The sequence below is a fragment of the Homo sapiens genome, chromosome 10, assembly GCF_000001405.40.
Source record: "Homo sapiens chromosome 10, GRCh38.p14 Primary Assembly".
NCBI classification, from domain to species: Eukaryota; Metazoa; Chordata; class Mammalia; order Primates; family Hominidae; genus Homo; species Homo sapiens.
In genome coordinates, this window is record NC_000010.11 from 124395947 (window position 1) to 124421642 (window position 25696).

The window sequence follows — 25696 nt, forward strand, 5'->3', positions numbered from 1 at the left end:
CAGCCTGACCAACATGGTGAAACCCCATCTGTACTAAAAATACAAAAATTAGCTGGGCATGGTGGTGTAGGCCTATTGTCCCAGCTACTTGGGAGGCTGAGGCACAAGAATCATTTGAACCTGGGAGGCGGAGGTTGCAGTGAGCTGAGATCACGCCATTGCATTCCAGCCTAGGCAACAGAGCAAGACTCTGTCTCAAAAAAAAAAAAGGAATACAAAAAAAAGAAAACACATGGAATAAATAAATCTCAAAAAGCTTAAAAATGTAACTGATAGGCTGGGCGCAGTGGCTCACGCCTGTAATCCCAGCACTTTGGGAGGCCGAGGCAGGTGGATCACAAAGTCAGGAGATCAAGACCATCCTGGCTAACACAGTGAAACCCCATCTCTACTAAAAATACAAAAAATTAGCCGGGCGTGGTGGCGGGCATCTATAGTCCTAGCTACTGGGGAGGCTGAGGCAGGAGAATGGCGTGAACACAGGACACGGAGCTTGCAGTGAGCCGAGATTGCGCCACTGCACTCCAGCCTGGGCAACAGAGCAAGACTCCATCTCAAAAAAAAAAAAAAATGTAACTGATAACACTGCAGTAATAGCATAGTGACATGGGGAATAAAGAAATCTTGTAACTGAAGAACGTGAGCCCCTTTAAATTATCAGGCCCAGGCCAGGCACAGGGGCTGATGCCTGTAATCCCAGCACTTTAGGAGGCCAAGTTGGGGGGATCGCCTGAGGCCAGAAGTTCAAGACCAGCCTGGTCAACTTAATGAAACCCTATCTTTACTAAAAATACTAAAATTAGCTGGGTGTGGTGGTGCACACCTGTAATCCCAGCTATTCGGGAGGCCGAGACAGGAGAATCATGTGAGCCCAGGAGGTGGAGGTTGCAGTGAGCTGAGATCGTGCCACTGCACTGCAGCCTGGGCGACAGAGAGAGACTCCATCTCAAAAAATAAAAACTAAATTATCAGGCCCAGAGAGGCAATAGAATGAAATCATAGTCAGGTCACTCTCTCCCAAGCTACATAATTACCTCTTGAAGCCAAGTATCTATCAAATGCCATATACCCTGTAGTTCAACAGCATATAGCCAATCACTAACCAAGGTTAGTTCTGTAAGCCAATGAGAATTCCTGATAAACAACTTTTGTAATCACCCCTTCACCTTGTGTCAGTAGAGGGTATAAGAGCAGCTGATCTATCCTTTTTTCTTTAAGAAGTGTTCTCTGGAGCACTCTCCAGGGCAACCTGGAAGTGTGTCCCGAGCTGCAGTCCCCAACCTTGGCCCACCTAAACATTCTATATTAATTTTGCCTCAGCTTCTTCCTTTTAAGGTGAATAATCATCACAAAACAGACATTTGAAATATAAGCTTTATTTTAAATTTAAAGAAGTATTGAAAATAAACATTTTTTACAAATTATAATCAAGCACTCAAAACAATTTAGGAATGTTAAACACTAATTCTTAATTCAAAATAATGACATCCATAGAATACAACCCTGGTGTTGGCCAATATGAAGTTTACTTAATATTAGTATTTTATATACACTTAACCATTAATCCTTCCTAAAATTCAATAACAATGATTTCACTTTATAAGATGAAGCCTTTTATGCAATACCCAGAGATAACTTTTTCAAATATGAAACACTTATACCAGTGAGGAAATTATAAAAACATATATCAATTATACTGAAGGACTTGATTTAGAGGCTGTCTGTATATAGATGCATTTCACCTTAGGAAGTACACATGCACATCAAAACACTTCAACTGAATATAGATGCCATTACATTATTTAGTTACGTTACAAAGCAAACGGCAGGTTCATAAACGTTGTTCTATTATGTATCAACTGAAAAAAATATATTCAAAAAAAAAGTTTTTGAAGACTCATGGGAGTGGAATGTGCCCACATTAGGAATAAAGCTTTTACAGGACCACCTGTCTCCAGCTGGCTCCCAGGGACCACTGAAAACAGCTGGCTACCCTCAGAAAGACAAGATGGTCTTGTTAATAATTTCAATGGACTCTCGAAGCTCATCCTCCTTGATCACCAGCGGAGGCGCAAACCTGATAATGTCGCCATGGGTTGGCTTGGCCAGAAGTCCATTATCTCGAAGTCGTAGACACACCTTCCAAGCATCCCAATCTAAAGAAAAATAGTAAAACGTACATGCTCAAAGATAAACGTTTAAACATCCCTTGCCGTATGTATGGGCAAAGTGCAGCCTGGCAAAACAAAATTAACAGAACTTGCTCAACTAAGGGAAGCTTGGGCTGGGAGCGGTGGCTTATGCCTGTAATCCCAGCACTTTGGGAGGCCGAGGTGGGTGGATCACGAGGTCAAGAGATTGAAACCATCCTGGCCAACATTATGAAACCCGTCTCTACTAAAAATACAAAAATTAGCTGGGCATCATGGTGCGCACCTGTAGTCCCAGCTACTCGGGAGACTGAGGCAGGAGAATCGCTTGAACCAGGAGGCGGAGGCTGCAGTGAGCGGAGATCGCGCCACTGCACTCCAGCCTGGTGACAGAGCAAGACACCGTCTCAAAAAAAAAAGAAAGGGAAGCTTGGAGCTGCAAGCTTGCTTTGTTTTTACTCCTAAAAATGAAGTTACTCTTCACTTTTCAGCAAGCACATAACTAGGTTTGAATGATATGATTAGACATATCATAGTTTTTCATAAATGAAAAAGACCAAGCCAAAAAAAAAAAAAAAAATGTGCTAAGGCTGCTGTATTAATCACACAAGGAACTAATGCAAAAGAACTTGGGTATAGGCTGGATGCAGTGGCTCACACCTGTAATCCCAGCACTTTGGGAGGCCGAGGTGGGCAGATCATGAGGTCAAGAGATCGAGACCATCCTGGCCAACATGGTGAAACCCCATCTCTAATAAAAATACAAAAATTAGCCTGTCGTGGTGTGGCACATGCCTGTAGTCCCAGCTACTCAGGAGGCTGAGGCAGGAGAATCGCTTGAACCCAGGAAGTGGAGGTCGCAGTGAGCCAAGATCATGCCACTGTACTCCAGCCTGGCGACAGACACTCCAGCCCAACAGAGCAAGGCACTGTCTCAAAAAATAAAATAAATAAAATAAATAAAATTCTAAAAAAGAAAAAAAAGAACTTGGGTATGATACAGATGATTAACTGACATAAAATGGGCAATACTCAAAACCCAGTGAACACTACACATTCCAAAAAGGGACTCGCTTCCTGAGCTCAACATATTATAGCAGCGATTCTCAACCTGGCTGCACATCAGAATCACCTTAAAGGCTATTGCTAATGCCTGTGCCCCGTCCCAGATCCGTCAAATCAGAATCCCTGGGGTAAGGCCAGGCTTTGACTCATTTTTTTAAGAAGCTCCCCAGGTGATTCTTTTTTTTTTTTTTTTTTTTTTTTTGAGACGGAGTCTCACTCTGCCGCCCAGGCTGGAGTGCAGCGGCGCAATCTCAGCTCACTGCAAGCTCCACCTCCCAGGTTCAAGCGATTCTCCTGCCTCAGCCTCCTGAGTAGCTGGGACTACAGGCACCCACCACCTCGCCTGGCTATTTTTTTGTATTTTTAGTAGAGATGGGGTTTCACTGTGTTAGCCAGGATGGTCTCGATCTCCTAACCTCGTGATCCACCCGTCTCGGCCTCCCAAAGTGCTGGGATTACAGGCATAAGACACCGCGCCCGGCCCCTCAGGTGATTCTTTAAGTGCAGCCAAGGTTGGGAGGTTGGAATCGTTGCTTTAAAAGGAAGAGTTATCACAAGAAAATCCAGCAAGGAACACCTAAGGGTTACAAAGGATGTACTAAAACATCAAACACCCAATTAAGTGACAGCCAGCATTATTTTTATTATTGACCCCATAACTGTCATTCATATCATTATTTCTGCTGCTCCTATAACCTCTACTGACACAAAGCATCAAAGTGAGGGAGGGAAGGATAGCAAAGAGGACACTTTCAAGTCCAGACTCACCAACAAAAAAACTTGAACTCTCTAAATACTGCATGACTAATTTAAGGCAGAAAAATAAGTGTCTTAAAGGAACAAGGGTCAAATTGGTTAAATGTGCCTTCATTTAGAAAAGAGCTATATTTTTTATACTCTTAATATAATTATAAATCAGACAATAATCTGTCTAAAAGGTTTGGTCATTATGTCAGTCAGCAGTTTCAAACAGAACATCCCAACACCCAATTAAAATACCAAGTGTGGCCAGGAGCAGTGGCTCATGCCTGTCATCTCAGCACTTTCAGAGGCTGAGGCAGGCGGATCACGAGGTCAGGAGATCGAGACCACCCTGGCCAACATGGTGAAACCCCATCTCTACCAAAAATACAAAAATTAGCTGGGCGTGTTGGCACGTGCCTGTAATACCAGCTACTCGGGAGGCTGAGGCAGGAGAATCGCTTGAACCGGGGCATCGGAAGTTGCAGTCAGCCAAAATGGCGCCATTGCACTCCAGCCTGGCAACAGAGCAAGACTCCATCTTAAAAAAAAAAAAAAAAAAAAAGTGTGGCCGGGCGCGGTGGGCTCACGCCTATAATCCCAACACTTTGGGAGGCCAACGCAGGTGGATCACGAGGTCAGGAGTTTGAGATCAGCCTGGCCAACATTATGAAACCCCATCTCTATTAAAAATATAAAGATTAGCTGGGCGTGGTGACAGGCGCCTGTAATCCCAGCTACTCAGGAGGCTGAGGCAGAGAATTGCTTGAACCCAGGAGGCAGAGTGCAGTGAGCCAAGATTGCGCCACGGCACTGCAGCCTAGGAGACAGAGCAAGACTCCGTCTCGAAAAATAAATAAATTAATTAAATTAAATACCAAGTGTATTTTAGGTCTTCCTTAAAAAATTATCTTGAGTAAATGTTTTATCTCCATACCTTTGGTTTCTTTAATGACAATAGCGTTTAATAATCCTTTTCCTCTTACGGCAGTTACAACATCAGAAGGTAGCTTCATGAGTTCATTTCTCAAGATAATGCCCAATTTGTCTGCATTTTCAGCAAGGTTTTCTTCTTCTAAAACCTACGTTTAAAGAAAAATTATACAAATATTAAGACTGTCCTTTTTTTGTTTTTTGGAGGACAACGGGGACTGTAAACACAGGAAAAACATGACTAGATAAAATACCAGAGGAACTTAACTTTCATTGCTATTTTTCAAAGCCTGTATTAGTTTCTAATTAAACATACACTAGCTCAGAGTCTTGCTTTCATCACAAATCTATTGCCAATCATTCATGGCAAAATAAGGATTAAAGTTTATTTAATGCAACTCACATACTGTCATTAATTGAATACATCAATGGACGAAATGTAATTCCTAAACTGCAATAGTTTCTTCCCCCCTCACAAAGATCTGTCCTCAGAGATTACATAATAATTGTATACCTTCAGCAGGCACTTAAAAAATCAGTCTGAAAACATTATAAATCCACACTTGAAAGAAGACTTGCTTGCTAAGCAAAAAGACGGGTCTGGTAGGTGGGTCACAGTTGAGAGTTCTATGAGGGCCAGCCAGGGCCGAAGAACTCAAAGCGCCAGGTGACTGTGAACTCAGGAAGCCCACGGAGGAAATCCAGTCTACTAGGCCAAGTTTAAATTACTTTTTGAGAATATCTTGTTCCTAAAATTTTTCCTCTATACTTCATGTTTTCTAATATTTGGCATTCTTATTGAATTTTTTATTATACCAGTGGGCCCAAATTAAAAATCACTTCAACATTGCTTTAAAGAATAGACACTGTGTGGCTGTATCAGTCTTTACCTCAAGGGCTGCGATGGCCACTCGGCAGCCTAGTGGATTGCCACCGTATGTGGACCCATGCTCCCCTGGCTTAATGGTCAGCATGATGTCATCATCACACAGCACTGCAGACACCTGAAAGACAGTCAATTCACCATGTCATTTCTCAGCACTAAGCATTCTACTAAGCATCCTTTTCCCCAGAGTCTCGCTGTCACCCAGGCTTGAGTGCAGTGGCGTGATCTCAGCTCACTGCAATCTCTGCCTCCTGGACTCAAGCAATTCTCCTGCCTCAGCCTCCCAAGTAGCTAGGATTACAGGTGCCCACCACCACACCACACATGTTATTTATTTATTTATTTATTTTGTAGTTTTAGTAGAGATATAGTTTCACCATGTTGGCCAGGCTGGTCTCGAACTCATGACCTCAGGTGATCTGCCTGCCTCGGCCTCCCAAAGTGCTGGGATTGCAGGCATAAGCCACCACACCCGGCCAAGAAACTGATACTTAATGACTTCAACGAAAGAGTTTACATCTGCCAACCTAACTACCAGTAACAACCTAATGACTTAGTCATACCCTAAAACATTACAAATACTTTAGGTACACTTCAATGGCACAAAACAATATAATTTTGCAACTAAAAGAGAAAAGCTATTTCTGCAATGATATAATTTCACAATCACTTCCAACGTCGAGATGAAATGCTTTGTTTAAATGCTTAAAAAACAAAGCTGAGCATTCTTTTTAGCAAAAGTTTTGTCTATTCAGCAAAAACATCTATACTTCAGAGACCTCTGATGTAGTAACAATTACTGGCTCTGAAAGGCAAACCCAAGACATGAACTACAACAAACATTAATTTTTCTCAGTCTCTTTGTTCACCAGTCATGGTTTTAAACAATTAGTAATATGCCATGTTTCTGAACACTGGAAAAAAGGACAGGAGTCTACAGGAGTCCTTTGGGGGTAAACTGTTTCCACCCAAATCCAATGTCATAGCAAATTCCAAGGCACACTCAATTCTTCAGGCAATAAGTAAGTGGGTCACACACTGGTCCCTTAAATGTTTTTATTACAGATATTCCGGGTGGCCTGCAGCACACTTGGTAAAATCAAACAATCTGAAAGCATTGTTGTCACAATCAGTTGATGTATAAATACTTTAGGGGTATATTTTACAAGAGTAGGAAATGGAAAGAGGGGGAACATGAAACTTACAGGGTATAAGCCCCCAGAAAGGGCCTTTCCAAGGAGGACTATATCAGGTCTGACATTTTCATAATCAACAGCCAGCCATCTACCAGTTCTGGCCAATCCTGTCTGTATTTCATCAGCAATAAAGAGAACCTATTGGGGAAAAAAAATACCCCTATTAGTGATCACTTTCGTTTCCACAGGGAAAATAGCCATCCTTATTTCACTGTCCCCCCACCAACAATAAATGTGTAATTCTGATGTGCCCTCAAATTTGTAAAAATGTTTTAACTGCACACAATTTCAAGAGTATCCTATAAGAATCTTGTAGACTCACCAACTATTTCCTTTGTCAGGCCACTATCTCCCTAGAGGCCCATTCTGCCCTGCTCTACATAGTGAAAAGGTGCTGATGCAAAGGTGAGGGTTTTGTATGGCTTTTCTGGACCTAACTACCCTCTGGGAACAAATTAATTCATTTGTTTATTCCACAAGCATTTAATATGTGACAGAAACTCTCAAATGGTAAACAAAATATACTACTATTAGCCCTGGGGGAAAGGAGGAGAGAATACAACAAAGGGCTTGCGGGGGCTCAGAGTGAAAGGCTCTTAGAGCAGCGAGGAAGGAAACGCTGTTAAGACCAGGTCTGCAGTTCTGCACAGGGCCCAGGACAAGGCCAGAGACAGGAAAAAGTCTGCTTCTGTGCAGGTTTCTAAGCACTAGGAAGTACTTAAGCTCTTAGAATGCCATCGCCCTCTAGTGGAAAGTAATTTAATCTTTGCATTTATCCAATCAGCAGAATTCAGAGAGGAGTTGGGGAGGAGCCCATTCAGCCTCATCACAAACAGCTAACTCGACATTCAGCCTTATCACAAACAGCTAACGTGACAACCTGGTGCCTGGTGCAGAGCTCTCGCACTCCCATTAGGTAACCTGGATCCGGAACAACAACGCCTGCTTCACCCTGAATTGGTTCTACCATGAACGCAGCCACATTTGGATCCTGAAGAGCACGCTACAGAAGAAACAGGAATAAGTTTTAATAACTTCCTTTCTACCACACTTGGAAATCTGAAAGCATATACCACACATATTTTACATTAAGTATGCAAATCAAGTTTTCGCACTAACGTAAATTCTGACTTCAAATTCACTGCCATTCAATTATCAGAAGCTCCAAATACCTCACCTTTAAGTTACACTAGCCTACATTTCCTTTTTTGCCTCATTCTGTTGCCCAGGCTGGAGTATAGCAGCACAAACATGGCCCACTAAAGTCTCGAACTCCTGGGCTCAAGGTGATCCTCCTGCCTCAGCCTGCCAAGTAGCTGCGCACCATGCCCAGCTAATTTTTTATTTATTTTCATTTTTTTTTTTTTGGAGATGGAGTCTCACTCTGTCACCCAGGCTGGAGTGCAGTGGCACGATCTTGGCTTACTGCAGCCTCTGCCTCCTGGGTTCCAGCAATTCTCCTGCCTCAGCCTCCCAAGTAGCTGGGATTACAGGCGCACAGCACCACGCCCAGCTAATTTTTTTTTGTATTTTTAGTAGAGACAGGGTTTCACCACTGTCTCTGGTTTCACTGTTGGCCAGGCTGGTCTCGACTCCTGACCTCAAGCAATCTGCCTGCCTCGGCCTCCCAAAGTGCTGCGATTACAGGCGTGAGTCACCGCGCCTGACCTTGATTTTTAAATTTTTTTGTAGAGACAGGCTCTCCCTATGCTGCCCAGGCTGGTCTTGAACTCCTGAACACAAAGTGCTCCTCCAGCCCTGGCCTCCCAAAGCACTGGGATTACAGGCATGTACCACCATGCCCAGCCTGTTTTCTAATACACAAATGTACCTAAATTAAATCTGGCTGGGCACAGTGGCTCATGCCTGTCACCCCAGCACCTTGGGAGGCCAAGGTGGGCAGATCACTTGAGGTCAAGTGTTCGAGACCAGCCTGGCCAACGTGGCGAAACCATGTCTCTAAAGAAAATAGAAAAGTTAGTTGGGTGTGGTGGTGTGTGCCTGTGGTTCCAGCTACTTGGGAGGCTGAGGCAGGAGGATCACTTGAACCCAGGAAGCGGAGTTTGCAGTGAGACGAGATTGTGCCACTGCGCTCCAGCCTAGGTGACAGAGTGAGACTCTGTCTCAAAAAAAGAAATTAATTACTTAAATTAAATCTAAAGTAAATAGCCTTTTAAAGCCAACTTAAGGCTTTCTTAAAAAGTCTTCCACTTCATAATTTTAAAAAGCTAGCTAAAAACAGAAATTTTACCTAGTAAGTAAGCAGGTATACCGAAGTTAACTGTTATGAAGGACACACATCTAAAGTAGTTGGCTGGCTGTACAGAGTAGATCACAGAACTCAGCTTTCTCTGTGTTGGAAACTAATTGATCGCTACTGAGAACAAGTCTGAAATCGTGGCTTAACTTAAGTGAGATAAATTTGCATTACTGTCATATAATGTACTTTTAATTCATATATTCAACAGCTTTAATTTCTATTCCCAATGAGCTGAGCACTATGATGCTAGTGAAATACCTCCAGTGCGGGCAGATCATTATAGGGAATGATGTCGAATCCCGGCATAAATGGTCCAAAACCATCGTAACTGGTTGGGTCTGTGGAACTGGAGATAGCAGACAACGTCCTACCCCAGAAGTTCCCAGCTACAAAGGGGAAACAAACAGTGATTATTTCAAAGAAACCCAAAATTCAATAAGCACTATCCCCGCAAAACACCACAAGAAGTTTGACTCAAAAAATAAATCAAGGGCTTGCTTTAGTGCACCTTCGGTGGGCTTTCAATTGTTAAAACAAAGTCTGATATTAAACACCATGGCTCCTATGACACAAGGCCACTAAGTCTGGCCTTGTAATTCCTATTTTAGGCATTTCTCTCTACTGAGCCTCTTGACTGGAATATATAGCCCCTGAAGATAGATAACTTACTTTTCTTTCAATAATCCCCAACCCAAAACCAAGCCCTAACAATTGAGGTCTTGAATGCATGTTTTCTAGAGAAGGTGCATTTATGATAGTGATATGAGAAAGAATATCCTTCATAGACAATTAGCGGTTTTCCTTTCAAAACTCCAATACTGCAGGCTAACAACAGAATGCATTTCCAATTTCATTTGGAGAAAAGATCCTCAAGCAATCCAAACACGTTTCCATTTTACCTTCCTTGATATTATAATCCTTTATGATGCTAAATGACAGACGTCTCCCTTTCTGCTGGAATATTTTTTATCCATTAATAAAGGTGACTGAGGATCTACTATGTCAGGCATTGTTTTAGATGTTGGGGAATAGACCAGGCACAGTGGCTCACTTATGTAATCCCTGCACTTTGGGAGGCCAAGGTGGGCAGATCGCCTGAGGTCAGGAGTTCAAGACCAGCCTGGCCAACATGGTGAAACCCCATCTCTACTAAAAATACAAAAATTAGCCAGGCATGGTAGTGCACACCTGTAGTCCCAGCTACTCAGCAGGCTAAGACACAAGAATCGCTTGAACCCAGGAAGCAGAGGTTGCTGTGAGCTGAGATCGCACCACTGCATTCCGGCCTGGGTGACAGAGCAAGACTGTCTCAAAAAATAAAAATAATAATAATAATAATAATAAAGATGTTGGGGAAGCCGGGTGCAGTGGCTCACGCCTGCAATCCCAGCACTTTGGGAGGCCGAGGCAGGCAGAACACATGAGGTCAGGAGTTCAAGACCAGCCTGGTTAACATGGCAAAACCCTGTCTCTACTAAAAATACAAAAATTAGCTGGGCGTGGTGGTGGGCGCCTGTAATCCCAGCTACACAGGAGGCTGAGGCAGGAGAATCACTTGAACCCTGGAGGCAGAGGTTACAGTGAGCCAGACTGCAGACTAGGTGACAAGAGTGAAACTCTGTCTCAAAAAAAAAAAAAAAAAAAGTTGGGAAATAGATCATGATCACAACTGGCAAGATCCCTATCCTCAGGGAGCTTCCTTTCTAGCAGGGAGAAAACACCTGACATAAACCAGTAAAGCAAGTGAGCTAGATAATTTCAGAGAGGATGACATTCAAGAAGGAAAGACACCATGTAAAATAACAGAGAGGTTGGGAGTTTGTGACATCATGTTTTTATCTTCTCACCACTTCTGCCAGCAGCAACTCCATTAATCAGTGCTGGATTATCGTATTTTGGCTTCATCTCGTTTCTAAATACTATTCTTGCAAAGCCTCTTTCACCAGCATCCCTTACCCACAAGTAATCTCTTCTTTCACTTGTCCACAAAAAATAGCACATTGATTTTGACTAGGTTTGTTTAAGAAGAAATGCACTGATTAGACCATAAGCCTATTTGCTCTCCCCTGCCTAGCCTCAGGAACCTCATCCTCAGTCACTTACCCTGCAGGTATAAGGGACTTACAGTTAGGGACAGTCTTCCTCTGTCTCTCCACCCCACTGACTCACCAGCTTCTTTCAATACTCAGGTGAAAACATCTTTGCACCCTTTGCTATTAAGAAAGAGACTGGACACAGTCTATAAGAATGAAAATCACCAGAAACACCATTTTTGTTTGCAAGAGACAGTTATGTTGTCCTACAACGAAAGCACAAGATTTTTAAATGGCAAGTTACAGAGTTTTGCTAAGATTTCTTCTTTGGGAATACCAATCTGTCCCCTCAAATACCAATCACCTCTGGCCTTCGGTTGAACTCTGGATTCTATTATGTTATGGGGTTTATCATTTAACTGCATGTGTTCACAAGGCAGAATATTTAATGATTTCAACTATCACAAGAATGAACTTTGACCATTATAGTGACAAATGTACACATACTTGTTTTTTAAAAAAATAAAGCTTAAAAAACAAGTCAGAACCTCTCATTTGAATATCATATAAAGAACCCAACAGTCAAACTACATCTTCTCAACTAATTGCTAGTCTCCCTAACCAAAATTCAAGTTATTCCTTTCATCCAGTCCCAGAAACCTAACAAGGGCAACTCCAAGCCTCCTCTTTTCAACAGCTTCTAAGTGGAACATGGCACAACAGGACCTCCAATATCAAGATTCAAACCACAGTCTATGTAGGCCATGGCCCCACACTAACTTCACCCAACCCCAGCACCCAACACAAACCCTCCACCAGTGAGACTATCTAATTAACTGGATAACTGCTATGAAAAAAATCTGACAGGCAAATGAGAGGAATATGGAGTTCAGAAAGAAAAATCTCATATATGAAGAAATAATCCCAAGAAGAGGAAATCCCTCATAAATTTTTATGAAACATTCAGCAAATACGTATCATGTACCAGGCAAAACATATTACAAGTATTTCATCAGCAAATTAAAACAGTAAATTTACACATATATATATGTTTTTTATATATAAAATATATAAGTGTGTGTGTGTGTGTGTGTGTGTGTGTGTGTGTATATATATATATATATATATATATATTTTTTTTTTTTTTTTTTAAATAGAGACAGGGTCTCCCTATGTTGCCCAGAAGGCTGGTCTTGAACTCCAGGGCTCAAAGACTCCTCCTGCCTTGGCCTCCCAAAATGCTAGGATTACAGGCATGAGCCACCATGCCTGGCCACAGTAAATTATATTGTATGTTTCAATCATAGAAGTTAATATTTAATTTCACATACCTGCAAAAACAATCTTTGCTTTGTATTTCTGAATGCCCTTCACGGTATAGCCCCACTTACGAGCTAGTTTACAGGCAGTCTCTCCAGCCTCCACTCCTATCAGGAGAGAAAAATGTTCAGATTTTTTTAAAATGTTAAACTATCAAAAAATAAAAAGATTATTTTTGAGGGTATTTAACAAAAAAAGGAAATGTTTTACCTGTATTCATAGGAAGAACTTTGTGGTAGTTGAAAAGTTTAGTAATATACTCCTCATATTCACCAAGTACGTTATTATAGAAAGCTCTAGATGTTAAGGTCAATTTGTCCACTTGACTCTTCAGAGCATTCACAATCTTGGGGTGACAATGCCCTTGGTTGACAGCACTGTAAGAACTCAGGAAGTCAAAATATTTTCTGCCTTCTACATCCCATAAGTAAATACCTAAAATACATAAGAAAGGAAAATAATTTTAGACAATTACTATACGGCATAAAGTCCAAAAATTAAGAGTGCTAGCAAGCCCTCTGAATGCCTATATATGAACCTCTATTTAATACATATTTGTAGTTAAAGCTTGTTTTAGCTCAGGCATAATAAACTTTGGTTTGTAAGGAATTACTAAGAATTGTATTTTATCTGCCCAGCTTCAAAACACACATTTAACAAAAATAACACAAAAAGGTTATAAACTCTGGAGTAAAACCTTTACCTAATTCTAAGATTTAGGATCCAAAATTAGAATTTAAAAGCAGAAGTTAGGCAGGGAGCCGTGGCTCACGCCTGTAATCCTAGCACTTTGGGAGACCAAGGCAGGGATTGCTTGAGCCCAGGAGTTCCAGATCAGCCTGGACAACACGGCAAAATCCCTGACGCTACAGAAAAATGCTGGGCATGGTAGTGCGCGCGTATGGTCCCGTTACAGAGGCTGAGGTGGGAGGATTGCTTGAGCCTGGGAGGTAGAGGATGCAGTGAGTTGAGATTGTGCCACTGCACTCCAGCCTGGGCACCAGAGCAAAATCCTGCCTATAAAAAAAAAAAATAAAATAAATAAAATTTAAAAATAAAAAAGCAGAAGTTACACATAACAGACAAAAATCATGAGAAGTAGACTGTAATAACCCTTAGGATGGAAAAAAAATATTTGTAAATCATGTGTCTGATAAGGATCTAATATCCAGAATTCTTACAACTCAATTTCAAAAGGACAAACAACCCAATTTAAAAAATGGGGAAAGACTTGAATAGCTATTTCTTCAAAGAAGATATACAAATGGCAAGAAACACATGAAAAGATGTTCAACATCACTAATCATTAGGAAAATGCAAGTTAAAACCACAATGAGATACCATCTCATACTCCCTGGGATGGTTATAATTAAAAAAACAACTTTTGACAAGGATCTGAAGAAATTGGCACTCTCATACATTGCTAGTGGGAAAGTAAAAACAAGGTTGCCATGTCATGTAATATGAAACAGATTTTCAATAGTTCAAAAGAAGATATGTCTACAGTACTGGTACCAAATAAAATACAAGCAAATGACCAAAATGTGTGATACTCTTATATTGTCATTTTCTGGTACAAAGCTAAGTAATAAACTTTGGTTTTATTTGGTTAAGGCTGTTATTTATTCCAAATTGTAGATTAAATCACCATTTGGCAACTACCACCGTAATCATTTATTCAGGCAAGAATCATTAGTGGATGCTGAAATTGTGAGTAAAAGTTCATGAGTAACTGGATATTTACAGAGTTTTACACTCTGTCCCCACAAGATACTTAATACAAAGGGAAAGAAGACCAAGACAACCAAGGATTGAGGAACTGTTCTGGGTTAAAGAAGACTAAACATGACAACTGAATGCAACTCATCGGAGGTTTTTCTTTTGTTATAAAAGAGAACAAATGACATCTGGATTAGGTCTCTAGACTAATGGTGCTGTACCAGTGTTAAGTTCTTGATTTTTACAATTACTCTATGGTTATAAAAGAGAAAGTCAGCTGGGCACAGTAGCTCACACCTGCAATCCCAGCACTGTGGGAGGCTGAGTGGTAGGATCACTTGAGACCAGGAGTTCAAGATCACCCTGGGCAACATAGCAAAATCTAATCTCTACAAAAAATAAGCCAGGCATGGTAAGGCACACCTGTAGTCCCAGCTACTTGGGAAGCTGAGGTGGGAAAATCACCTGAAGCCGGGAGTTCCAGGCTGCAGTGAGCCATGATCACACCACTGAACTCCAGCCTGGGCAACAGAATGAGACCCTATCTCAAAAAGTCATTGCGTTTTTGGAAAGACACACTAAGTATTTATGGGTAAAGAGATGTCATGTGGCGGGGCGCGGTGGCTCACGCCTGTAATCCAGCACTTTGGGAGGCTGAGGTGGGTGGATCACCTGAGGTCAGGAGTTCGAGACCAGCCCGGCCAACATGATGAAACCCTGTCTCTACTAAAAATACAAAAATTAGCTGGACGTGGTGGCGTGGGCCTGTAGTCCCAGCTCCTCGGGAGGCTGAGGCAAGAGAATCACTTGAAACCGAGAGGTAGAGGTTGCAGTGAGCCGAGATCCCACCATTGCACTCCAGCCTGGGTGACAAAGCGACATTCCGTCTCAAAAAAAAAAAAAAAAAAAAAAAAAGAAGAAGAGATGTCATGTCTGCAACTTCCTCTCAAAACAGTTCAGAAAACAATGTAGAATATGCAGGCGGCGGGGGGAGAAGAGAAGGGAGTGAACACACTAAGACCAAAGCAGCAAAAAGTTAGCACTTGGAAAATCTGGGAGAAGTATAAAAGGAAAATGTCAGTACTATTTGTTACAACTTTTCTTAAGTCTAAAACTATGCCAAAATAAAAGTTAAAAGAAAAAAATGACAGCAATATGATAGTACTTTCCTTATTTCTCTTGCATTCCCTCTTGGTAAGGTCTACATGACAAAGACAATGGTTCCTCTTTGAAGCCTCCATAGCACCTAACACAGCAGCACTAGACACTCAATAAATGAATTAACTGGCCAGGCGTGGTGGCTCACACCTGTAATCCCAGCACTTTGGGAGGCCAAGGTGGGAGGATCACAAAGTCAGGAGTCTGAGACCAGCCTGGCCAACATGGTGAAACCCCATCTCTACTAAAAATACAAAAATTAGCTGGGTGTGGTGGCGCACGCCTGTAGTCCCAGCTACTCAGGAGGCTGAGGCAGAAGAATCGCTTGAACCTGGGAGGCAGAGGTTGCAGTGAGCTGGGATTGTGCCACTGTACTCCAGCCTGGGTGACAGAGTGAGACTCCGTCTCAAAAAAAAAAAAAAAAAAAGAAGAAGAAGAATTAACCATGTCTGCAATATACACATTAAACACATCTAGAAAAATGTATATTGTGAAAATATGGAAGCAATTTTTTTTTATAAAAGGTTTCAAGAAAAGGGAAAAGACGGATTAATTTGAAACGTACCTTTTCCTCTCTCCAGGGCTACAGGTAAAGGATGGTAGTTGTGTGCACCATACTTATATTCCCTTTCAAAAATGTCATCAGAGGTTGGAGGGCCTTGGACTGTTTTTTTAGTTGCAACAGATGTAGCAGAAGCCACTGAAGAATGAACTCCGCGACTAAGTACAGCAAACCTCTGCAAATGTGCTAGTTTGGAAAACATTGTGTCCTTCAAGTAGAAAAACCACAGATCTGTCCAAAGAAAAGAGAATGCATTAAGAGTGAGAATCCTTGGCTTATGCCTATAATCTCAGCACTTTGGGAGGCTGAGGTCAAAGGATCACGTGAGCCCAGGAGTTTGAGACCAGCCTGGGCAACAGAGCAAGACTCCATCACTAAAAAAAATTGAAAAATTAGCTGGGTGTAGTGGTATGCATCTGCAGTCCCAGCTACTCAGGAGACTGAGGTGGGAGGATTGCTTGAGCCCGGAAGTTGAGGCTGCAGTGAGCTGAGATTGTGCCACTGTACTCCAACCTGGGAGACAAAGAAAGGCCCAGTCTCAAGAAAAAAAAAATGGCCAGGCGTGATAGCTCACATCTGTAATTCCAGCACCTTGGGAGGCCAAGATGGGAGGATCGCTTGAGCCGAGGAGTTAAAGACCAGCCTAGGCAACATAGTCTCTATAAAAGAAAAAAAAAGAGTGAGAATCTTGAGTCAGGTGTGGTGGTTTGTGCCTGTAGCCCCCAGCTGCTCAGGAGGCTGAGGCGGGAGGATCACTTGAGCCCAAGAGTTTGAGGCCAGCCTGGGCAACAGAGTGATACCCTGTCAATCAGGCAATCAATCAACCAACCAATCAATAAGAGTAAGACTCTTTCCAGAGCTAATGCACTGTGTGTTGACTGAGTACCTGCTAAACACTAAGTATTTGTTAAGCACCTACCACAGTCCGATACCATCAGGCACAATGCTATGAGACAGCTACAACTGTAGGGCAGAGACCAGAGGCAGGGAGACCAAATCAGAGAAGACTGCCAGAGACTAGGCATGGGGCAGGAGACAGAGGAACTGTCCATCCCTCTGGGCTCAAGCAGTCCGCCCACCACGGCCTCCCAAAGTTTTCGAATTAAAGGTGTGAGCCACTGTGCCCAGCCTAAAATCTTTTATTTAGCCACAAATATCTAAAACTTCTGTAGGTCAAATTTATCATAAACAAAGGTGAAAGGCAAAAAGACTAGGAAAAAAATGTTAACTTATAATAGCTTTAAAGTGTTCACAGCAAGTTGAATTAGACCAACATATACATACATACATAAATACATACACACACACACACACACACACACACACACACACACACACACATATATGAGATTCCCAAACAAAACAATCTATTCTGCTAGGATGGTTGTTTCTACAAAACTTATCCTGAAAAATTGTAGCATAAAAGATATTGTTGACCAGGTGCGGTGACTCATGCCTATAATCCCAGCACTTTGGGTGGCAGAGGCAGGCGATCACCTGAATCGGGAGTTCGAGACCAGCCTGACCAACATGGAGAAACCCCGTCTCTACTGAAAATACAAAATTAGCCAGGCGTGGTGGTGCATGCCTGTAATCCCAGCGACTCAGGAGGCTAAGGCAGGAGAATCGCTTGAACTTGGGAGGACGAGGCTGCAGTGAGCCAAGACTGCGCATTGCACTCCAGCCTGAGCAACAAGAGTGAAACTCCGTCTCAAAAAACAAACAAACAAACGAAAAAGCTATTGTTAGCAAAAGGTAACTGAGAAACTAGAGAGAGTCAAACTACAAACTACAATCCGTTACTTGTATGAGTGTTAAAGTCTAAACATCACTGAGCAGGCTGGTGTTTACCCTGCCGCCCCATCACATAAGTCAGAGCCATAGCTACTCTCCCCAGTCACCCCCAGCCCTAAAACTAGCCCCTCCACAAGGCTTCACACACCTCTTTGTACCCAATTTACCATTAAGCATCCTGATAAGCCATGAAGTAAAAACTAAGCTATGAAAGAAACTAATAATTAAAAGGAAATTAGAGCATGTGCATAGGAATCACCTCTGGAAGGAAAAAAAAAAAAAAAGCTTAAAGATAAATTCATGATTAGGAGAAAGTTGCCAAAAACTAGGCATACTTATTCCATCTATACTTACTTTCTAAAAGACTAGTTAATTCATGTTTCAACAGAAGTCTACCAATGACAAGTCAAACCATGTATAATCTCACAGCCACTCTTGATTCGAGCTGCCAAATTAGCAAAACATAATACTTGGAGTTTGGCTTACTTCCCTTTAAACTTGGCACTACCCAGTAAATCCAGTATGTTCAGGAATTTGCAATTGCTAAACAAAATCCAGTACTCCGGTTTGCCAAAGACTCACTGACTATTTTTTCTTCCCACGGTTCAGTCTAGAATACAGATTTTTAACCCAAGATCCAGGGACAGTCTGCAGAGAGTCCAAAATCTCCTGAAATAAAATGCAGAATTACATGCAGACGTATATTTTTCCAAGAAGAAGGTCCATAACTTTCATCAGACTTTATCTCAAAGGGGTGGGTACCAACAATCAAAACAAAAGTGATGTAAGAATCATCCAACTGGAGGTAGCTGCTAGCAAAAATGTCTAACTGTACTATATGTAACTTCCCCAAAATACTACTGCTAAGTCTAAAACACTCATGTATGATTTCTTTCTTGGACTCTTTATGCTTTACTCAGTATGAATAAATTGTTTGATCAACTAAAAAATTAGAACATTAATTTTTGCCTATCAAATTAGCAGTAAAACACTCAGGCAATACTTAGTGGTGCTCTAAACCGTAACAACTTTCTAGGGCCAGGCAAGGTGGCTCACGCCTATAATCCCAGCGCTTTGGGAGGCCAAGGCAGATCACTTGAGCCCAGGAGTTAAAGATCAACCTGGGCAACATAGGGAGACCCCATCTCTATAAAAAATATGAATATTAGCCAGGTGTGGCGATGCGTACCTGTAGTATCTGGTACTTAGGAGACTAAGACTAAGGTGGAAAGATCTCTTGAGCCCTGAGTTCTGGGCTGCAGTGAGCCACGATCTGTGCCACCAGCACTCCAGCCTGGGCTACAAAGCGCTAAAAAAAAAAAAAAAAAAAAAAAAAAAAAAAAAAAAAGGAATATCAGAGATTATCTAAATTCAACATTCTTATTTTATATAAAAGTTATCTGCACAGCTAATTTCCAACAGAAATGGGATGAAAAATTCATTTACCTGTTAAGTTTAGGCAGTTTTATTAAAGAATAACTGGGGACAAAATAATATCATTCAAAACATTACTAATACTCATTCTTAAGGTTTTTGTTTCTTTTCACTTACAGATGGAGTCTCAGCTATGTTGCCCAGGTTGGCCTCGAACACCTGGGCTCAAGGGATCCTTCTGCCTCAGCCTCAGGAAGAGGTGGGACTACAGGCACACACCCCTGAGTCAGCTATTCTTAAGGTTTTTAAGATGAATTCTGGATATTTAATTCAACTGGGAAAGGTCAGAAACTGGATGAGCCATGATGTATCAAAATCCTGTAAACGCATTTCTATTAAAGAACCTTCTGTGTTCAAGTTACTGTGCTTGGCACTGTATGAGAAATCTTAGAGCAGAATTAAGATGGACTTAAAAATAGCCAACATCAATAACAGCCTCTTCCAAAAAGGTTTCAAAACCGGGAGAATCAAGCGGAAAATCCCGAGTTTGGAGACCGGGATTTTAAATTCTGTCTGTGGTTCTGAAGAGTAACTCTGGGTGATTCTGTCAATCTTTCTGAGCTTCAGTCTCCCCATTTGTAAAAGGAGGTTGAAGTGTCACTGAGGATGAAATGGGTTAATGTTACTGTGCCAAATCCAGCACAAAATGGCCACTCAGTTCCCTTTTGCCCTTAAAACTAGCCAGTTTCTGAAATATCAGAATCAACAGTGCCATGATTTATTTTTAAAACTGTTTAAAAAGACACACACACACCATTTTTCAGTTGATAAAAAATTAGAAAACACAGACAAGAAAATTACCAGCAATTTTACACTTGCATGATAACCATTAACATTTGGTTATTTTTTCTATGCATAATTAGCATCCATATTAGCTTTTTTTCACCCTCCCCTATAGAATTTACTATTTAAGTCCCTCCTAGAGACTCCCAGGGACTGTGCAGACTTGTAACGGGTCCTAACACTGCAGGCCACTTGTTTTTATGCCTATAAGTCTATACTCTAAGCTCCTTTAAAAAACAGTAAAATTCACTTTGCATTCCTAGAACCTAGCCCAGGTTGGGCATCCTGTGGGCCTTTATCAGATAAAGAGGTCAGTCTTACTTAGGACTCCTGAGGGAGTCAAGGTAGCAAGTGATCAAGACCATGGGATCACCTATCCCTGACCAGGTTGAGTCTAACTCTAAGAGGGGGTGTTCACTCTCTGACCTCATCTAGAATAACTCATCTCTTCATCAAGAGTTTACTTCATTAGATCTAATGGCCTTCAAAGGTCAAAATAATGTGTTCCAGGCAGCTATCATGCATCTACCTGACGCCCATACTCAGGTCCTGGAAATGAGAACAAATTGCTCTTGGCAAGCTAGAATTCTAACACTGAAGGTTTTATCCACGTAATTAACAGGGTCCTTCAGGCTACCATTACTCCCTCCATCTAGCCCATCCATCTACATTAGAACATACCTACAGTAGAATTTCCACAAAAGGCTGCATTTTGAAGTTAATTTAGCCTATACTCTTAAAAACTATTTTCTTACTCTAAAAGAATAGTCGGCGTAAAGTTGTCCAAAAGCCACTTAAAATATTCAACTTGAGGAGTAAATTTGTTCTTGCTATTTTGACAAATATTTACTTTTCCTGAGGTAACCATTCACAAATACAGGCCTTTAAAAAAAAAAAAAAAAAAAAGTTCTACCAACAGAAGTCTCTTTGACGTAATCAGTATTCTGGCTAAAATTCAAGCCAAGTGCATCATTGGCAAACAACTAGTTTTACTACTGAGAAAGGACCGGGGTCAACTACAGCACATCCTCCACACACATCCAAATTCGTGCATTCATCACTATTTGTAAATGTTTGAGATTTGAAAGGTCCTCAAGAACTCACTAAAGGGCATAAAATATGCACACAAATAACTGTAATAAAGGCACGCTATGGGGATAATACATATTAAGACAGCTGCTTTGAGGGAAAAATGTCTTTTAAAAATGTTTACTATTTAAAGTTATACTGGATTTTTCTTTGGGGGGGGGATGCAAAACTAATCTTAAACACCATGAAAAACTGTAAACCCAAAACTATAAGCTTTTTTTTTTTTTTTTTTTTTTTTCGAGACGGAGTCTGTCGCCCAGGCTGGAGTGCAGTGGCACGATCTCAACTCACTGCAAGCTCTGCCTCCCGGGTTCAAGCAATTCTCCTGCCTCAGCCTCCCGAGTAGCTGGGATTACAGGCGCGCACCACGATGTCTGGCTAATTTTTGTATTTTTAGTAGAGAAAGGGTTTCACCATGTTGGCCAGGCTAGTCTCAAACTCCTGGCCTCAGGTGATCCGCCTGCCTGGGCCTCCCATAATACTGGGATTACACAGGTGTGAGCCACCGTGCCGGGCTAAAAATAAGCTTTTTAATTTAACGCTCGTTTTTATGAAAAGATTCATCTAAAGACAGAACCAGGATATTCTAATGAAAGGAGTCTATTGTTATTTCACATGGCTAAGAGCGATTGATTACAATCTAAAGAACAGTTCCGGGGTTAACTGAAAGAACTAGCTTATCCACAGAAACCCTTTCAATCCCAGAAGGAGAAATTTAGAATTTGGAAACTGAACATTAGTCATTTCTTAAGGTAAAGCCACTTCATTCCAAAGTCACTGTCTGTTCGCCCTTAATTTATCACCGTAATTTATCTAAGAGGTAAAACTGAACACCGAAAAGGTAAGATGTAGAGTGACAAAAGGAGACGGTGGGTCACAGGGCGAGTGCCCAGGTGACTTCGGGCCTCAGTCCTCTCGCCAGCAAAGGGCGGACAATGACCCCTCCCGTCCCGCCCGGGAAGGCGATCGAGGAAACGCACTGGCCAGGCCCATTTACTGATGCTCAGCAGGGTTTGCAAAAAGCCCCCAACGGGAGGTTTTCATGCTGAAAGTCCTGTTGCCCCCCCATCCCCCACCATCTAATTAACCTGCACGTTACTGTAAGGAAGGTTCTGCTTCCGTAATTTTCTTTATTTCGACAGAGGCTGGAGAAAAAAAATCATAGGCTGGAAGAGGGGAGCGATGGGCAGGCCGATCTGCAGGGCGCAGGAGCAGGCCGGGAGGACCCAGCCCTCCAAGGCTGCATCAGCGCCCCCGCCGCGTGACCAGGGCCACCGGTTTACTGCACAGCTCCCCCGTCCCCAGAACGCAGCCTCCCCGCCAACCCCAGGAACCAAGGGTGCCCAAAGGCCTCCTACCCGGAACCCCGGGGCGCCTCGGGGTCTCTGGGCCGGGTGGGCCGAGTCCTGGCCTCCACAGGCCGCGAGCGCAGGGGGCGGCGGCTCCGCCCGGTCTGGCAGGCGGGGCTGCCACATCCTCAGCCTCTCCCTGCCGCCCGCCCGTCGGCCGCTCTGGGCTGGAACCAGGACTCCGGCCTGCAAGCCGTGGGTCGCCACGCCCCTGCCCCCTGAAGCTGCGCGCCGGCCGGAGACTCCAGGGCGCCCGGGTCCGAGCCGCCCGCAGAGTAAACGGGCCGCTGAAGCGGGGCTCGTTCCCCGGCCGAGGCCCAGCGCGCCCCCTCAGCCAGCATCCCCCGAACCCGGGCCGCGGCCACCCCGCGCCCGCCCGCCTCCCCCGCCGCTGTCAGGGAACCCCGGCCAGGGCCCGAACCAGAGCCCCAGGACAGCGGCGCCCAGACGGTACCTGACAGCGCCTGAGGACAACCGGGTACACGCGGCGTCTATGAAGCGCAACAGTGACGCCGGAGAGTCACTGCAACTTAAAGGCTGATTCTGCCCCGCCCCCAAGACACCCTCGCCGCTCATTGGCTGGGGCGGAGGGCAGGATACCAATCGCGTGGGTCCCGTCCTCCGCCCCGCCCTCCGGCCGCGCATCAAGGATCTTTGCTCCTCCCGCGGATTCGATCCGCGCTCGCGCCTCCTGAGCCCGCCGGCCTGTACCTGAGCTCAGGCCCCTCGGTCGCCTCCTCTGGCGGGACGAGAAGAGTCCTTGTCCGCCCTTGCTGACGAGAAGACTGAGGCCCGAAAAGGAAAAGTCTGTTGGGCCCCCCACTGCGCGGGCCGGGTGTGGCTGGAGGCCGAGAGACGTGAGGCTGGACCGCCCGCCCTGTGCTCCTGGAGGGAGGGACCAGCCCCAGCTCTGCCCCAGCCACAGCTGCGGGAGCCCCATGCCCTTGAACCCTGATGCGCCGCGCGGCTTAGTTGTGCCTCTGAATCCACCTCCAAAAGTCGTCGCTGCCTATGGAAAACACACTGCCCACCTGTTCGCAGCTGCTGTCAGATAATTGAGTGGCAGCAACCCACTCACAGTACAGATTTGCCTGTGGTGCCCTCCACAGCCGGTTATTAAATTCAGAACACAAAATAGATATTCCGGGACAACCTCATGTTAGAATCGGAAGGGACTTGGACTTCACTTAGCCCACAACAAGATGTTAAATATTGGAAAACAGAGACCCAGAGAAGGAAAGCGACTTACCCAGTCATCCAACAGTAGGGGCAGTCTGGTCCTGTGTGCCCCTCGCCACCCCTCTCAGAGGGCAGGCGCTGGCAGCTGCCGGCACCACACTCCATTAGACCACAATGACCAGTCGGGGGCCCAGCTGGAAACAGAGGGCACACTCCAATGTGAACATTTCCTAAAACGTGGTGGTGGGGGCCCGTGGTTCATGCCTGTAATCCCAGCACTTTGGCAGACCGAGGCAGGAGGATTGCTTGATCCCAGGAGTTCCAGACCAGCCTGGGCGACACAGTGAGACCCCGTCTCCACAAAAAAAAATAAAAATTAATCTGGTGTGGTGGCACACCTATGTTCCCAGCTACTCCAAAGGCTGAGGTGGGAGGATCACTTGAGCCCAGGAGGTTGAGGCTGCAGTGACCTATGACTGCACCACTGCACTCCAGCCTGGGCAACAAAGCAAGACCATCTATCTTAATCAACCAATCAATCAATCAATGTAGGCAAGTAAACCACAAGGGATGGAGAAATAACCTGGGTCTCATGCACCAGCGAGGGCCATTATCCATCCTAGGCCCAACGGCCTCCAAGTGGGGTTTCCAGAATTCCAGAACCCAAAGAGAGGAGTGTGGGAAAGGCTATCTGGTCACCAAAGTCATCAGCAACTGCATGGGAAGGAGCTGGACAATGAGCATCTCCTGTCAGGCTTCCACATGGGCTGAAGCCATTAGGAGGCCAGAGGCCAGGGGAGCCCTTTAAGACAGCTCAGCCTCCTGGGACAAACAGCAGGGTGGAAAAGGGTGGAGACGGGGTAGGGGAGCAATTGGAAGACATCCAACATACATAACTGGCTAAGATAAGTCTTAGCTAAGCAGAAAGTAAAGTCCATGCTAAATGGTAGGGATAAGAAAGTGATATGGGTGCAGAGCTGTGAACAGCAGAGCCAGTATCTGCAGATGTGCAGAGCAAGACACCAAAAGGGATTCAGTCCCCCTGGGCTCCATCTGCCCTATACCAAGGTCACTCTCTCAGACTGTTGTGGCCATGGGCTCTCCAGAACTCACTGAGAGCAGAACATTGCCTTTTATTTCTTTCATGTTCCTCCACAGCACCCAATACAATGTGATTAACTTCCTGGAAGTTAGGTTATTCTGCCCAAGGGGTCAGAAAGGAATGGTTTCTCCATGGTCCTGCTCTATAAACCTGGGCAGGTATGTGGGGCCATGCCCAGCTCTTGGAACTCTTATAGAGCCCAAGACTCCCGAGTTATGCCTTGTCAAGGAGGAGCAGGTGAGTTCAGGAGAGGCACATGACACCCAGGATCCAGGGGTAACATAAAGTATGTTACAATGTCTTTGGGCTCACAGATAAGGTGCTCTTTAAGGAGTTTCATATGCAAGAAGTTGCTGGAAATGTCTGGGTTTTATCTCTTTCCTCTTATCAGAAAAATGCAATAGGTCCAGAAAGCATGATAACATTTTATGGTCTCTGTACTAGAGTTGTTTTTCAGCATAATGTGGCCTTGACAGAGAGACCTGAACTTGAAAGCTGCTTCTTTTCAACCAAGAAACAGAGCTGCTTTATTTGTATGTATTTTATTTGTTCAATCTAGAAACATAAAGGTAAAGTGCACATTACAAAGATTTTTGAGTCTCTAAAAACTATTAATAATTCAAGTAATTAACTATATGGGGACCATAAAACCTGAGGATATAAAGAGTGGCCCTCAGGCCAGGCACAGTGGCGCATGCCTGTAATCCCAGCTACTTCGGAGGCTGAGGCAGGATAATCGCCTGAACCCGGGAGGAGGAGGTTGTGGTGAGCCAAGATTGTGCCATTGCACTCCAGCCTGGGCAACAAGAGCAAAACTCCATGGCCCTCATAACAGACATCCAAGACCTAAATTCATTTCATCAGTTCATTCGACAAATGTCCTTTGAGTGCCTCAGGTGCCTGACCTTGCGAGGGGTTTCACATCATCAGGCAACACCATGTG

At 43.7% G+C, this 25696-nt stretch overlaps 1 protein-coding gene across 10 annotated transcripts, besides 7 other annotated features; it reads right to left on the minus strand.

The window, feature by feature from the left end:
- Positions 1357 to 22977, minus strand: OAT (ornithine aminotransferase). Of its 10 annotated transcripts, none has more exons than NM_001322968.2 (12): positions 22927 to 22977; positions 19007 to 19126; positions 18400 to 18486; positions 16027 to 16254; positions 12795 to 13019; positions 12596 to 12691; positions 9490 to 9617; positions 7852 to 7974; positions 6981 to 7109; positions 5780 to 5893; positions 4894 to 5038; positions 1357 to 2156 (listed from the first exon to the last, which is right to left on the minus strand). In NM_001322968.2, exons 4-12 carry the CDS (start codon positions 16223 to 16225, stop codon positions 1996 to 1998), a joined length of 1320 nt encoding a protein of 439 aa, NP_001309897.1. In that variant the 5' UTR covers positions 16226 to 16254; positions 18400 to 18486; positions 19007 to 19126; positions 22927 to 22977; the 3' UTR covers positions 1357 to 1995. The 10 variants fall into 10 exon arrangements, with proteins under 10 accessions (NP_001309897.1, NP_001309899.1, NP_001309898.1 ...); NM_001322970.2 differs by having other exon boundaries at positions 18304 to 18486; NM_001322969.2 differs by lacking the exon at positions 19007 to 19126.
- Positions 7514 to 8057: an enhancer, noted in NCBI's record as "NANOG hESC enhancer chr10:126092029-126092572 (GRCh37/hg19 assembly coordinates)". NCBI's record gives its function as "activates a minimal SCP1, AML or CMV promoter by ChIP-STARR-seq in naive H9 embryonic stem cells {active_cell/tissue: H9 hESC(naive)}" and the evidence as "EXISTENCE:reporter gene assay evidence [ECO:0000049][PMID:30033119]".
- Positions 7594 to 7888: an enhancer, noted in NCBI's record as "tiled region #15365; K562 Activating DNase unmatched - State 25:Art". NCBI's record gives its function as "activates a minimal TATA promoter and a strong SV40 promoter by Sharpr-MPRA in K562 cells {active_cell/tissue: K562}" and the evidence as "EXISTENCE:reporter gene assay evidence [ECO:0000049][PMID:27701403]".
- Positions 7594 to 7888: a silencer, noted in NCBI's record as "tiled region #15365; HepG2 Repressive DNase unmatched - State 12:CtcfO". NCBI's record gives its function as "represses a minimal TATA promoter and a strong SV40 promoter by Sharpr-MPRA in HepG2 cells {active_cell/tissue: HepG2}" and the evidence as "EXISTENCE:reporter gene assay evidence [ECO:0000049][PMID:27701403]".
- Positions 22537 to 23076: a silencer, noted in NCBI's record as "silent region_2909". NCBI's record gives its function as "represses an Ori minimal core promoter by ATAC-STARR-seq in GM12878 lymphoblastoid cells {active_cell/tissue: GM12878}" and the evidence as "EXISTENCE:reporter gene assay evidence [ECO:0000049][PMID:35858748]".
- Positions 22537 to 23678: a biological region, named in NCBI's record as "ReSE screen-validated silencer GRCh37_chr10:126107534-126108193".
- Positions 23019 to 23678: a silencer, noted in NCBI's record as "fragment chr10:126107534-126108193 (GRCh37/hg19 assembly coordinates)". NCBI's record gives its function as "represses an EF-1alpha promoter that drives an FKBP-Casp9 reporter gene in an ReSE screen in HepG2 liver carcinoma cells {active_cell/tissue: HepG2}" and the evidence as "EXISTENCE:reporter gene assay evidence [ECO:0000049][PMID:32094911]".
- Positions 23652 to 24166: an enhancer, noted in NCBI's record as "H3K4me1 hESC enhancer chr10:126108167-126108681 (GRCh37/hg19 assembly coordinates)". NCBI's record gives its function as "activates a minimal SCP1, AML or CMV promoter by ChIP-STARR-seq in primed H9 embryonic stem cells {active_cell/tissue: H9 hESC(primed)}" and the evidence as "EXISTENCE:reporter gene assay evidence [ECO:0000049][PMID:30033119]".

What these genes read in the sequence shown, in the direction of transcription:
- OAT (NM_001322965.2), bottom strand. Translation starts at nt 16,225, where the DNA reads ATGTTTTCCAAACTAGCACATTTGCAGAGGTTTGCTGTACTTAGTCGC. An exon ending in TGGCCATCGCAGCCCTTGAG is followed by an intron (nt 5,039 to 5,779) that starts GTAAAGACTGAT and finishes CTTTAAACGTAG; the next exon opens with GTTTTAGAAGAAGAAAACCT. An exon ending in TGTCATTAAAGAAACCAAAG is followed by an intron (nt 2,157 to 4,893) that starts GTATGGAGATAA and finishes ATTTTTCTTTAG; the next exon opens with ATTGGGATGCTTGGAAGGTG.